This window comes from Homo sapiens, chromosome 18 (genome assembly GCF_000001405.40).
Source record: "Homo sapiens chromosome 18, GRCh38.p14 Primary Assembly".
Lineage (NCBI taxonomy): Eukaryota > Metazoa > Chordata > Mammalia > Primates > Hominidae > Homo > Homo sapiens.
This window is the reverse complement of record NC_000018.10, coordinates 39,666,109-39,681,882: the sequence shown is the minus strand read 5'-3', so window position 1 is coordinate 39,681,882 and position 15,774 is coordinate 39,666,109. Positions and strand designations below refer to the sequence as shown.

Genomic DNA, 15,774 nt, shown 5'->3' with positions numbered 1-15,774 from the left:
ATAAAGATATGGCCACCCCTTCCTCTGCCTGCCCACCCACCTTTGTCGCCTTCACCTCTGTACCCTCTAACACAGTATGGTCACCCTTAGCCCTTTGGTTCATGCGTTCCATTCCTATTAATTTCAGAAAATGGCAACTGCCAAAGCAATAAGAGTGAATTTAATTTAAAAAGTGCAATCATGTTCTGGCTTGTGCTGAACTGGACTTGCAAGTATTTGTGTCTGTGATTTAGCATTATTTCTGGGGAGAGAGTCTCCCTGTTTAATACTAATAGTCTTCCCAGGAAGTTTCATTAGAGTGAACTACAATTTTTATTGCCCAGGATTTAACAAACTCCAATCTAAAGTCTCAGTGCCACTTTCGTCCAGGCTCCCAGTCTCAGATGAAATTCTAAATTCTAACAATGTCAGCCCAGGACTCAGTGCATCACCCAAGTTTCTTTGCTGAATCTCATACACCAGAGACCTCACGCCTCTTCTCTTCTCATGTGCACCTTTCTCCTGAAATTTCTCTGCTCAACACTCCTGACAGCAACCTGTCTGCAGATGCACCAACAGCTGCTGCTGCTGAAAAATGGGCTTGTCTCTCTCACGGGGGCTATGATTTCTGGCATATGCATGCCTCCTACTGTCTGTTTGGTTTTAAAGCAATTTTCGGCACACCTGCTTGCTTGAACTTTACTGAGAAGCCCTCTCAAGAGTTCACTGAAGAAAAAAATAATCCGTTTCCTAGGTACTTCTGTGTAATTCTAAATTTCACTTTAAACCTCCCAGTAAAGTGTTTACCCCTGTGAATGGAGAGACAATCTGTGTTGAGACAGTCCCGCTGCCTCAGGCAGGATCTCATCAGCTCTCATATCACAGCAGATAGAGAAAGGGATGATCCATTAGGGCAATAAGGCCAACTTGTTCCTACCACCGAAATTGTTCCTTAGAGTGCATTTGCTACTGCCATGTCCAGTCTGGTTTTTACTGTCACCTACGAAATTACATCTCACTTAAAAAATTCTCCAATTGGATGGTTCTGCTCTTTTAGTTTTGACTCTACCAGCTTTTTTTTTTTTTTTGAGTCAATCTCTTAGAAATACCACTCAGTTCATTTTTACTCTAGTTTCTAGACTTACCTTACAGGAGTTCTCCATAATGTTGCCCTTTTGATTATTGTCTTTAAGATTCACCATTTAGTCTATCCATGGGTTATGCAAAAAGTGGATATTTAATCTGATTGTAAACAACCAACCAGCAATTGAAAAACAAAAAAACTTTTTTTTTCTCTTCTTTTGGTTTAGGGGCCTTGATCTTAAGGTAATTGTCTCAATGTTCCAGGTAGTCCCTGTGTGACCATAGCATTGCTCAGTGTCAGAAACCACTTCTGATTATTGCTCCTGTGGAACTGGCAGGTGCTCTCAATTGTAGCCAAGGTTTTTAGGTAAACCCATCTAAAGCATTGCAAAGCAAGTGAATTTGGGAGTAAATGTACATTTGTAAAGCAGGTTCGTGTCAGCTAAACTTCATGCAAAATAATAAGAAACAGTGATCTACATGCAATTGTAGGAAATTTCATTAATATCATGAAGGTAATGTGAGTATGGCTCATGAAAGATATCTTGAAACCCAAACCAATAAGCATTATAAAAGGAGGTGATGGGTGGACATGGGTGGGCTTTAGGACTTAGAATGCTGTCACAATGTCCAAAAAAAAAGCAACATAAAAATACAGGAGAAGAAGCAAGACAGAGTCCACACAGGACAAAAGGCAGTGCTATGAATTCCTTGCATTTAGAATTTGGCCAATGACGTGATCATTATTTAAATAAATATAACTACTTTTTATTTGACACATGAATTTTCTTTTCTGCTCTACAACATTATGAAATAGCTGTTCCTTTGATGGGCAAAACAGAAAGTTGAAATAATATTGCCCAAACAACTACTAAGTGTCATATTTACTTAAACACTGGATGTTGGTATACAGTGATGCAATGGATATTATTATCCCTGATGACCTCTGATTAAGCTTATAATCAACAATGGTCAAGCTACCCAGTGAATGAGTCGGGATATGAACTCAGGCAATTCTGATTTTAAAGCCAAAGCTCTTTACTTTCTGTCTCAAGGCCCCTGTGGCTTCCATTTCTAGCTAAAGCATAATGTAACCTCAGCCACTAAAATCACATTGCCATTGGTGCCTCCCTCATTCTCTCTTCATCTTCTTTTATTCTGTTTCTATGCCTGTGCAAAAAGGCAGCTGCCCTGGGAGTGGACTCTGCAAGGACACCAGATGCATTCACACTCCAGTTCTGCGTCATGCATGCTCTATGAACCTGGGCAAGCAGAGTAACCTCTCTGAAACTCAGGTTTGTCGTCTGTAATGTGGGAACAAAAATCTTGAACTAGGCCTGCTGAGAGATTAAGCACCCAGTAGACAATAGGTGCGAAGTAATTATTAATTCCCTTCTCTCTCCCTGTCAATTTGCTGGCTCCAGATTGGATACAATCTTCCTGCTTTGACCTTGAGTCTCCCTCCTTACAAAATGCAATTCCATTTACTGAGCATCTGAACATAATTGGCACCTAAGGAATACATGTTGAGTGACTGAAAGACCTCTTCAAGGCTCAAATGTCCTCAAGAATCTGAAGCCCAGCCTGAGCCTTGTGAAGATCTTTGTAACTGCCTTATATCCCCACACTGGTTTATGCACATTCATTATCGTTTACCATATTGGCTTCTAGTTTTTCTTAATACATCATAAGTTTCTCAAGAGCAAGGACTATGTCTTACTTTTCTTTGTAAACTTAGCTATTACAAGATATCCTGAATATTTATTTGACAAATTACTATTTGAAAGATTTAAATTGAATCATTATTCTAATATCAGTAGTTAACACTGATTAATCTTGCCTGTAATACTAATTCCTAGAAGTATTTGAAAATATAATGAAGGCATTAAAAAGGTTAGTGCTCACTTCAGCAGCACATATACTGAAAATAATACAGAAGGCTGGGCACAGTGGCTCAGGCCTGTAATCCCAGCACTTTGGGAGGCTGAGGCGGGTGGATCACGAGGTCAGGAGTTCAAGACCGACCTGACCAACATCGTGAAACCCCATCTCTACTAAAAATACAAAAATTAGCCGGTGTGGTGGTGGGTACCTGTAATCCCAGCTACTCAGGAGGCTGAGGCAGGAGAATCGCTTGTACCCGGGAGGCAGAGGTTGTAGTGAGCCAAGACTGCGCCACTGCACTCCAGCCTGGGCAACAGTGTAAGACACCATCTCAAAAAAAAAAAAAAAATACAGAAAAGATTAGTATGGCCCCTGTCCAAGGATGACACAGAAATTTGTGAAGTATTCCATAGTTTTAGCCAAGATATGGAATCAAACTAAGTGTTCATCAGCAGATGAATAGATAAAGAAAATGAGGTATATGTACACAATGGAATACTAGTCATACAAAAGAATGAAATTCAGTCATTTGCAGCAATATGGATGAGCATGGAAGATATTATGTTAAGTAAAATAATTCAGGCACAGAAAGGTAAATATCACATGTTTTCCCTCACAAACAGAAGCTTAAAAAGTTGGTTTCATAGAAGTAGAGTATAGAATAATGGTTATTTATTTATTTATTTATTTTTTGAGACAGAGTCTCACTCTGTCACCCAGGCTGGAGTGCAGTGGTGCAATCTCAGCTCACTGCAACCTCCGCCTCCTGGGTTCAAGCAGTTCTCCTGCCTCAGCCTCCCGGGTAGCTGGGATTACAGGCAAGCACCACCACATCTGGCTAATTTTCATATTTTTAGTAGAGATGGGGTTTCATCATGCTGGCCAGGCTGGTCTCGAACTCCTTACCTTGTGATCCACCTGCCTCGGCCTCCCAAAGTGCTGGGATTACAGGCATGAGCCACTGCTCCTGGCCCAGAGTCTAGAATGATGGTTATTAAAAGCTAGGAAGGGTTGGGTCAGGAGATATGGAGAGGTTGGTTAATGGAAACAAAATTTCAGCTAGACAGGGGAAATAAGTTCTAGTCTTCTAAAACATGGTAGGGTGACTAACAATTTATTATATATATATATATATTTTTTTTTTTTTTTTTTTTTTTTTTTTTTTTACTGTAGAGACGGAGTCTCACTCTGTCACCCAGGCTGGAATGCAGTGGCGCAATCTCGACTCCTGCAACATCCGCCTCCCAGGTTCAAGCAATTCTTCTGCCTCGGCCTCCTGAGTAGCTGGGACTACAGGCACATGCTGCCATGCCTGGCTAATTTCTTTTGTATATATATTTTTAATAGTTAGAAGAGAGGATTTTGAGTGTTCCCAACACCAAGAAAAGATAAATGTTTTAGGTGGGGGATAGGCTAATTACTCTAATTTGATCATTACACATTGTATATATCAAAATATCTCTCTGTACACCATAAACATATATAACTATTAAGTGTCCATTTAAAAATGGTACAACCACTTTGGACAATAATTTGGCAGTTTCTTATAAAATTAAACCTATAGTTATCATATGGCCTAGAGATTCCTGTCTTATGTATTTACACAAGAGAAATGAAAACATGCCCACAAACACATTTATATATAAGAATGTTTATTGCAGTTTTGTTCATAACCAAACATAAAAAAATTACAAATATTCATGAACCAGTGAATAGTTCCAAGTTGTGGTATGACGATGCAATATGTACTCTCTAATAAAAAAAAGGAACAAGCTACTGATACATAGCCTAACATGGATTCAGAAATGTTATGTTGTGTGAAGGAAGCCAGACATAAAAGAGAACACAGAACATACTTTATGGTTCTCTTTATATGACATTACAGAAATCAAAACAGCAGTTGCCTCAGAGATGGTATGGAGTGGGATATAGTGGTAAAGGGTGGGAAGGGAATGCTCTAGGGTGATGAATACATTATGTATCTTCATTGGGGACTTATTATGTGGGTGTATACATTTCTCAAAATTCATTGAACTATATACTTAATTGAACTGTACACTGTATTTTATTGGATGTAAATTATACCTCAATTTAAAAGATAATATACAATTCAAAAAACAGAAGGATCTATGGAATAGATCTACAATGTAGAGCTAACCAAACTAATATACCCATATTCTGATGATCACCTAGCCAGAATATGGGTATATTAGTTTGGTTAGCTCCACGTCATAGATCTATTCCATATTTGTGCAAAAGTTATATTTCGAAGGGTCTCATGTTTAATGATTTAGACTAGAAATGTGTTGGGGTGCATAATCTATAGATATCTCTATGGTAGGTTGGTTTAGAAAATGAAGCATTTTAAAAGGTAAATGACTTCTCTAATTAACCATGTAGTAAATATTGTCCATAAGATATATACACATTATATATATATATAATATACATATGTGTATATATGCCCATATAATACATTAAAAATATATTTTTTTGACCAAAGACAAGCAAAACAAAATAAAAGAAAACATACCCCCCTACCTGGTGAGGGCTCTCACATTCTCACATTTTGGATCTGGCTGGTGGTCCTGGTATTGCTGATTTTTTAGATGGTCCCTGAAAGCAGATGCCTCTGTCTGTATTTCCTTAGGAAACTCCAGAATAGGATAAGCTCAGAAAACGACCACTGTACCCTGGAAGCATAAATTAGCTTCGGAATAGGGATAGGGCTCAGTTATCTCCTTTAAAAGGGGGCCTGCCAACCTCGTCTAACTGTTTTAAGAATTCTTTGAATGGTAAGAGCATTGCATAAACAGGAGCATTCATTGCAATATCGGCTTTGACCTCAACTCAACCCTCTTCCCCTTTCAAAACCACTGAAGAACATTTTACTCCATTTATAAAATATGAAAGGGAACTTTTAAGGTTGTTACTTTCTAATTTTCCCAACTCATTCTCTTCATCCTGTTCCTGGTGGCTCAGGACAACTTCCTACCTCGCATTGCCTCTCATTCACCTCTAACCATCCCCTTAGATGTTAGCTGATAATTACATAATACCTTTGCTGTTTCTCTCAGGCTTGTTTTCAGTTTTAAATTAATTATGAAAGTCCCTCAAGTAGCATTTCACCTCCTAAATGTGGCCCTGCCATCCTGGGATCTCCTGAAGAAAGTGGCTGATGGCTTTGCCCACTCAGAAACTTGGCCATGCCGAAGGGACACCCCATCTCTGACAGGACAGCAGTTCTCTTTGGGCTGAGCCGAGGGTGGGACATGACAGAAGTCAAGGCTGATTTCTGTTTCCCTTGAAAACACTGGTCAGAATGGAGAGGCTGCCCCATTTAGTGAGCTTGGGAGGATGACTCATCCCTGGGAAAACTCATTACTTTCTCAGAACCTTGATCTGTTCCCAAGTTCTCCTTTTTTATGGCAAATATAAAGTGGTTAGAACTCCCACACATTTTTCCTTCAGTGTCTCTGAAAATCATTCAGCCCTGTTCAGGGTTTCGCCAGTGATGAAAAGCTTATCCTACATATTTTCAGATAGCAAATGTCATAGAACACACATAATGTGACTACCTATTGCACTGACATTCGTATTTAGTACTCAAAGGCGAGCCATTTCTGAGGGAGGGAGCCCGGTTTGCTCTATAATGCCCTGAGACAGTCCTGTATCTCCTGCTGCGGCTCCTGACAGATCTTATAAAAGATCGTAAATTACTATCTGTTGAAATATATGAATTTAATGAATTCCATTAACGCACACCTGCACAGAAGAGATTTCAGGAACCCAAAGATATGATCAGTCAAACAGCTTTAATAGTTATTAATTACAGAAGCAGACTATTTATCCCCTGCCTACATAGAAATCTGAAAGTAGTGTAATACTCACACTTCAAGGGTTTTTGGGTGGGAGAGAAAATGGGCTTTGGTTGAAAGGATCAAATACTTATTTTAGCTAATGCACTTACATGCTGGGAGTTTTATATTTATATATGAGAGAGCAGTCACTACTTTTATGTGTAGATTTTAAGAAATTTAATGTCATGAGAGTTTATTTTTTTTTAAGAATTATAAAAAAGGCTTTGGCCAGTATTTAAAATAGGCCACTTATTTTTGCTTCTACATGCATGAACATCCAAATGTTTAGATGAAAACCTAAACCAACCATTTAGGAAAGTCCAAATCAAAGTCTCCTATGTAGTCTTCATAATATGTCCATAGAAATGGTTGGGCAGGTGGCATACATGAGGTTTCCAGGAAGAGTAGCCTTGATCCAGTTATCTGCGTTCTAGGGACAAATATCTCACCATCTTTACCTAGTCATATGAATAATGACAGAAATTAATATTTATCATGTTATATTCCTCATGGAAAACTCTATAAAAGAAACTATTATTATTCCCCTTTAATAGATAAAGAAATTAGGGCATAGGAAGGCGAAGGATGCTACCCTTGATCCCACACCTAAGGCTTGGGTATGAAGTGCCTATTGCTTGACTCCATACCCTTAACCACTGTGTGATGCTGCCTTCCAACCATTCTAAAAGAATGCCACACAAGACCCTATTTCTGTTCCTCTAATAGTGACTATCTACCTGGATGCAAACTTTGTGACATCAGGTAGATAGAGGCACATGCCCTAGAGGAGGATAGAACACTCATCAATGAAGAATCACAGTCCCGAAGCCTGCAGGATCTGATGACAGAAGCAAAGTCAGAGGGCCAAGAGCCACATCCAAAGACTGACTTCACTAAGACTTTTCTCCAATTACAGAACCAGGAAAAATGTCTGCATCCTAGGAAAAGGATGTCTGTCCTCAAGGCTCAGCAGAAGGAAGAGTCAGAGTTGGATCATTGTCATGTACAGCCCTGGCCACCCTCCTGCATGCTGGATTCCATATCTGGATATTTAACTGGATATCCTGTGTCAGATATCCCTTCTCTGATGATATTTCTGTTGCTCAGTAAATTGATCATCCTATCCTCTGACCCATTCTACACTGCAGTACTTGTATTTCCACATTATATTTAGCTAAGACAGCTTTTCTCCCTGTTGTCTGCCTGTAAATTCACTCATATTTTAAGAACCACATCAAACATCACCTCCTTCATAAAGTCTTTTCTTTCTCCCCAGGCAGAATTAAACATTCCCTTTTGTGTCTCCCTGTGTATGCTGCATATACTTCTGTCATAACAACTATAATGTTTTATTGCCCTGATTTGTTTACATGACTGGCTTTCCTTAGTATATTGAAAGGTGCTTGAGAGCAAGGGCAGCTTGATTAGCCTCCACATTCTCATATGAAAGTAGCATGTAGTAGGTGCCCAGAAATTAGTTGTGAATGAATGAATAAATAAATGTATAGTCATAGAAATGCAGGAAATATACTTTCAGGTGATGTGGGAGAGAAAAATGTGATGAAGGCATTTTTCCTTCTTTTGAGAGCTGAAAGAATATACCTGGTTTATTAACAAATCATTCCTGTTTCAAGAACAGCTGGGTAACTGTCTCAATAAGTGAAGGACGTATATTAGAAAGGCATTACATTTGCTATTGACATTTCATTTCCTGTCCTTTTTTATGTGCCCATACAGCTGCAGTAACCTTGCACTTACTATACTGGTGATTGGGAAAGCCATTTCTATGCATAAAGTTTCTGTGTGTACAAATATGGCTTAGAGTAGGTGGATAGAGCTGATGTAGTTCTTGGTCATAATTTTGAGTTCCCCAAACTCACCTTTCTTGGCAAATGTCCTTAGAAATCATTGAATGTGTTGTATGTTATACCAAGTAGTATTACATCTGTGGGGATAGCATGTTCCTTTTCATAAATATAGGGGTGGGTTGTTTTTTTTTTGAGATGGAGTTTTGCTCTTGTCACCCAGGCTGGAGTGCAGTGGCGTGATCTCACCTCACTACAACCTCTGCCTCCCGGGTTTAAGCAATTCTCCTGCCTGAGCCTCCCAAGTAGCTGGGATTACAGGCATGTGCCAACACACTCAGCTAATTTTTGAATTTTTTTTTAGAAGAAACAGGGTTTCACCATGTTGGCCAGGCTGGTCTCAAACTCCTGACCTCAGGTGATCCGCCTGCCTTGGCCTCCCAAAGTCCTGGGGTTACAGGCATGAGCCACTGTGCCTGGCTGGGGTGGGTTTTCATATTCTTTTATTTGACCAGAAAATTAATCCAGTAGAGGAAGCCAGAACTGTAATACTATCCATCCCATGGCTGTGAAAGCAAAAAATATGATTAGTAATGAAGCCAGAACGAGCACCAGCACCTAGCAGTTCTGACTCTACATTCTATCATTTTCAATATTCAAAATGATTTTTCCAATGGAAACTATATGGGAAGGGAGCACCACTAGCCAAATTCAGAGCACAGTTTAGATAGTAAACATATTTGGGCTTAACATGATTAAAGATGTTCTCATTTCATAGGTTCTTATATCTGAATTGTATGAGAGTGAAAGCATTTCTGCATGTCTGACTACTTGAAAATTCCTTATCTTCATGATGGACGTCATTGTTGTTACCAACATTGCTAGCGGTTTTATAGTATTGCACAATTCCTGTAACATTTTCACTTATATCATCCCGTCTAATTCTCACAAAAGCCATATGAGATGAATATTCTAGTTATTCTACCCATATTACACATGAGGGAATTGAGGCTGAGTAATTCAGGTGGAAAGCAGCATGGTTTGCTCTTCATCTTAGGTATTCTTGCTTAAATTACATGCTCCTTGAGTACCTGTTGTATCCTCAGACTTTACTAGGGGAGCCTTATGCCTCTTTTCTGGCATTCTCCCCCGGGAGGATGCCTAAGTCATATAGTCTTAGCAGTATTTCTTTTTTTGAGCATCTGTTTAGGCAAATATATATGTCAGTTACTGTAAGGAATATTAAGATAAAGAGGGCACAATTCTGTCGTACAGACACTCATTTGTTGGAATGATTTAAAAAACCAAAATAAATATTTTCAAAGCTAAAATTAAAGAGTACTGTGGCAGGAAAAAGGTAAATATCTTCAGATATGAACTGCAAGAACTGTGGAAGTTAAAAGGAAGTGATAGTGCATTATTCTCTTGGGATCATGGATCTTTGCAAATGAATGAGACTGTACAAAGGTTTGTGCTTTATATTATGCTCCTCATGGGTTTAAGATCTTCCCATGGCTTCTCATTGCCTGTAGAATAAAATCCAAAAATCTTCCACATCCTGGCCTCTCCACCTTCCCAGCCTGATTTCTAACCATGACAGGACTCTCGCTATACAGCATTTCTGACATTTCCCTAGTTAGAACACACCAAAAAACATGTTCTTTTCCATGTCTCTTCCATTGCATATTCTTTGCCTGTAATGGCCTGACTTTGGTTTTGCCTTTCTTAGAAATCCCAGGCTAAGAGTTACCTTCTCAAAGATACCCTCCAACAAGCCTTTGGAGAATGTCTGGCTCTCTGTGAACTAATATGCCTTGTCTCTACTTCCAGTATAGAATTGTTGGTCATCCATCCGTCTCCCTTACTAGAATGTCAGCTATTTCAGATATGTGAGGGAAAAGGACTTTAACTTATTTGACCTTTATAAATACATCACATTATAACTTATTTGACCCAGTATCTGTCAAATGTTTGTTGAACTAATAATGAACAAATCTTAGAGATCATAGAAGGCAACTCTATTGTTAAATCAAACACATTAGCTTCAAATACATACATTTATGTACATTAACCCTAATGTTGAGGTGGCTACTACTTCAAAAACTAACAGTAAACTCAAATTACTTTGCAATTTCTTGATTACTTATATATATATATGACACTGTAGAAATAATGAAAAACAGTAATAGTACTCTCCCTATGTTCTTTCTCATCTAGAATAAACAACCATTGTTCATTCAACTATTTCAGGCATGATATAGCTACCTACATTTTGCTTCACTATTCTCTAGTCTCAGAGAATTTTGCCAGGGCTCCATTTCAAATGGATTTCCTGGAGTCTGCTTGTAACTCTCCTGAACACTTAGCAGAAACAAGGAGAAAAAGTCAGAATTGGCCTGGAGCTCAGAGCCATCTTAACATTGAGAAAGGGCTCAGAGGAGTCTTCTAAAAGTGAGAAGGGTAGATTATTATATTGCATTATTAATATGCAATGGATATGCATTTATTCATGTATGGTTGGCTCTACCTTTTCAACATTAAATTACTTTCTACCTTATGAAAACTTAGTTCCAAATGCTTTTCTGAAGTGTAAATTGTCTAGGGAGAAAAGATGGTTCTGTTAGGTTGGTATTCGAGGCCAGCCCTAGGTAAAATAGTGAAGCAGATGAAGTTTTTCTTGGAATCCTTCCATCCTAAATGAAAAATAAAAGAATAAACATAAAGCAAGCCCACTCTGCTAAAGTGTCAGTGTTCTCATGTTATTTCCATTGCCTATCATTGCTACTGAATGCATATCCCTAACCTAAACTATTGCCACTGCCTGCATGCCCCCATACATACGCTACATACATTATTGCACATACACTTTTTTGGGGTAAGGTTAGGATAGGAATATACCATAATAGCAAACTATTTTAGATCTCAGAGGGTTAACCCATAAAACATTGTTTCTTCCTCATGCAAATCTGCTGTAAGTCCAACAACTCCACAAGGAAGTCCTATGACCAGAGCAAGTCACACGATCTAATTTCAAGGAGACTCGGAAATGTGGGAGAGTTCCCCAATATTTAGTGAGCAGTAAACTATCTATGCTTCATTCTTGATCTCCAGCATTTTCTTTTCTTTTTTTTTTTTTTTTTTTTTTTTGAGACGGAGTCCCTAGGCTGGAGTGCAGTGGCGCGATTTTGGCTCACTGCAAGCTCCGCCTCCCGGGGGTCACGCCATTCTCCTGCCTCAGCCTCCCGAGTAGCTGGGACTACAGGCGCCTGCCACCACGCCCGGCTAATTTTTTTTTGTATTTTTAGTAGAGACGGGGTTTCACCGTGTTAGCCAGGTTGGTCTCGATCTCCTGACCTCGTGATCCGCTGGCCTCAGCCTCCCAAAGTGCTGGGATTACAGGCGTGAGCCACCGCGCCACCTATCTCCAGCATTTTCTTAAACAGCAATAGGCAGGAAGCAAAACTAAAACTAATCCAATAAATCAAATTAAAACTTCTCAAGTCATAGCTTTACTTTCTGATGGAGACCAGGGCAGACAACCAAACCAATTTATTGCTTCTATTGCCTTCACTTGTTCATATGTTTCTCAACATCTTAAACAGATTATGATATTTTTCACTGTTATGGATGAAACTGTGTTGCTCCAAACTTCATATGTTGGAGTCCTAAACCCCAATAACTCAGAATGCAACTATATTTGGAGATAAGGCCTTTAAAGAGGTGATTATGTTAAAATGAGGACAATAGGGTGGGCCCTAATCTAGTTTGACTTTTAAAAAAGGAAATTCAAACACACAGAAACCACATATTCTCCTGCACAGAGGAATGATCACCTGAGAACATAGCGAGTATGTGACCAATTGCAAGAAAAGGAGAGGCCTCAGAAGAAATCAACCCTACAGACACTTTAATCTTGGACTTCTGTCTTTCAGAACTATGAAACAGTAAGTGTCCGCTGTTTGAACCACTCAGTCTGTGGTATCTTGTTATGACAGCCCCAGCAAATGAATATACTCATTTTCAGCATGCCCACTGTGTTGGATGGGATGGGCTAAGTTACACTGTAGAAACAGCTACGTCCAAACTCTGTTGCTGAAACATAGGTTAATTTATTGATCCTTGTCCTTTCATAGACCAGCTTGAGGCCCCACTCTATGTGATACTTACTCAAATCCAGACTCACAGAGCTTCCACCATCTGAAATACTAAGAGCCAGTCTGATGGAGGAAAAACAAGGCACCAAAGTAGTCTGTGGCATCTGCTTTCTCATCTGTCACACTGGCTCAGGCAAGTCACCAGGCCAAGTTCAAATCCAAAGGAAGCAAGGAGTGTAGTCCTTCCCCCTTGTAGGAAGAAGGAGAACAGGAACATTTGTCAACAGCCCTATGACTACACTACTACACCCCATGAAAGAGGAGGGTAATAATGAAACATCTGCAAATTTGGAGGGTGATAAAAGCAGGTAATTTAGTGGTCCATTGACATTGATTATTTATTTGTTGACAGCATGGTATCATATAAAGCATTCTGGGTCAGGTATATTCCACATCTGTGAACTTAACCTAAATCATTTATTTTCTTTCTAGACAAGACACTTAAAGTCTCTGAGTCTTGTTTTTTGGTTTTTTTTTTCCTTATTAAAAGATGGAACAAACAAAGATGAACACCAAAGATCTTTTCAGCTTTAAAATTCTGAAATTTTATAATTTTGTATGTGCTTTCTCTATCAAGTTATCAACATGTTTTCCTTCCTTCCTTCCTTCCTTCCTTCCTTCCTTCCTTCCTTCCTTCCTTCCTTCCTCCCTCCCTCCCTCCCTTCTTGCTTCCTTCTTTCCTTCCTTCCTTCCTTCCTTCCTTCCTTCCTTTCTTCTCTGTTTATACTAAAAGTACATACATCCTGAAGACCTACTACACACTGGCCCCTGAATGAGATACATTGAAAAAATAAAAAGATGCTCAAGCTTCATGGTGGTTACTGCTAAAAGAGAGAGAGAGAGAGAAAGAGAGAGAAAATGGACACACACATGAATAATTACACTCAGTCATTCAATCAAGAGAAACCAAAGTCCTTAAAAATAATCAGAAAACCATTTGTTCAGGCTTCAGTAGGTAATGAATCTATGCTTAGCAAATCAGGAAATGATTCATAGTGAAAATATCAATAGCTGAAAACAATATGAAGATTCTCTAGGAGGAGAGACTCAAAAAAGCAAAGCAAGGAAGAGTCTAAGCTAGAGGGCTGCAGAAGGCAGAGTGACTGGCTGAAGTACAAGCTTGGTTTGCAGGAGTATCAGGGAGTTAAATGGAGAGGCAGAATGGTATGGGGTCAGATAGTGGGGAACCTGTGGATGTTATCCAGAAATGGACTGGGGACCCTCACAAGTTTTATGAAGGAAAATAACCTAATGAAAACAGTGGAATTGATTTTGTGAATACTTAAGTACAGCAAGTAATAACAATTTTAAGAATGGTATGAAGAAGAAGGAACTGGTCATTTAGAGGAGAAATATGTTTTAATGCACATGCATTGTTTAATAAGCTGCCTTGTGTGTGTGTGTGTGTGCGTGTGTGCAGGAAACCTCTATGGTTGCTGCAATGGTTAATTTTACATGTCCACTTGGCTGAGCTATTGTGCCCGCTGTTTACTCAAACACTAGTGTAGTCTAGTTGTTACTTTAAAGATATTTTGTTGGTGTGATTACATTTATAATCAGTTGGCTTCAAGTAAAGATTATCCCAGATAATGTTGATGGACTTCCATTAGCTGAATGCCTTAAGAGCAAAAACCTGAGATTTCCCAGAGAAGAAGTAATTCTGCCTGAAGACTGTAAAATAGAGATACTGCCTGGGTTTCCAGCCTGCCAGCCTGCCGGCTTTCCCTACAGTTTCGGGCTTGCCATCCCCCAAAATCACATGAGCTAATTTCTTAAAATGTAATCATCTCTCTCTGTCTGTCTGTCTATCTATCCATCTATCTATCTATCTATTTATCTATCTATCTATCTATCTATCTATCTATCTATCTATCTATCTATCTATCTGTCCTCTATCTTTATCTATCTATCTATCTATCTATCTATCTATCTATCTATCTATCTATCTAGTTGCCTGTTGGTTCTGTTTCTCTAGAAAACTCTGATTGAAACAGGTGGGAAGGGAGAAACAAAGAGAGAATCTTCCATCCACTGCCCTGAGAGCAAACCTAATTATGTCTTTACATCCCTTGCTAAGACTGACAGATATGATATAAATTGTTTCTGGTAAGTGACAAGGATCGATTTCTGAAACGTCATTTCTCACAGGAATTCCTCCTCTTCTGCACAGCACTCTTTGCTGCAACAAATGTTTACTTTGCTTTTCTTTTACTGTCTTAAACTGCCACTCGTATTTTTCATTATTTAAATTTTTACATGTTTATATTCTCTCTCTCTAACCATATTGCTGCATCACGTACAAAATCTCACCCTGCCCCCAGCCCAGTTCTTTCAGACATGTTTGCTGATTTGATTTGAGAACACTTGATCCAGAATCTGAGCTCTTGGAATGCATCCTGGAGACTCTCCCCCAAGCCAGGCCCAGGGTGGCACTGGCAGGATTGGAGAGGGTGTGAAATGGTTTGGATTTGTATCCTCACTCAAATCTCATGCTGAATTGTAATCACTAATGTTGGAGCAGAAGCCTGTTAGGGGGTGATTGGATCATGGGGGCAGATTTCCCTCTTGCTGTTCTCTTGATAGTGAGTTTTCATGAGACCTGTTTGTTTAAAAGTTTGTAGCCCCGGGCCCGGCGCGGTGGCTCACGCCTGTAATCCCAGCCCTTTGGGACACCGGGGCAGGTAGATCACGAGGTCTGGAGTTCGAGACCAGCCTAGCCAACATGGTGAAACCCCGTCTCTGCTAAAAATACAAAAATTAGCTGGGCATGGTGGCGGGCACCTATAATCCCAGCTACTCGGGAGGCTGAGGCAGAAGAATCGCTTGAACCCGGGAGGCAGAGATTGCAGTGAGTCGAGATCACGCCACTGCACTGCACTCCAGCCTGGGCGACAGAGTGAGACTCCTCAAAAAAAAAAAAAAAAGTTGGGGGGGTGTAGCCCCTCCCCTTTGCTCGCTTCCCTACTGCTCCAGTTATATAAAATGTGCTTGCTTGCCCTTCTGCCATGA

At 39.6% G+C, this 15,774-nt stretch overlaps 1 long non-coding RNA gene, 2 other non-coding genes and 1 pseudogene across 3 annotated transcripts in view; 3 read left to right on the top strand and 1 right to left on the bottom strand.

Annotated features, from left to right (window-relative positions):
• Nucleotides 1–15,774, top strand: part of MIR924HG (MIR924 host gene) — a 545,072-nt gene that overhangs the window by 70,113 nt on the left and 459,185 nt on the right. The gene's annotated exons all lie outside the window — the stretch shown is intronic.
• On the top strand, nt 3,261–3,363 carry RNU6-1242P (RNA, U6 small nuclear 1242, pseudogene; annotated as a pseudogene).
• MIR5583-1 (microRNA 5583-1) lies at nt 5,104–5,162 on the bottom strand. The gene has a single exon (NR_049847.1). It is a non-coding gene; the product is annotated as a microRNA 5583-1 (primary transcript).
• On the top strand, nt 5,106–5,164 carry MIR5583-2 (microRNA 5583-2). The gene has a single exon (NR_049848.1). It is a non-coding gene; the product is annotated as a microRNA 5583-2 (primary transcript).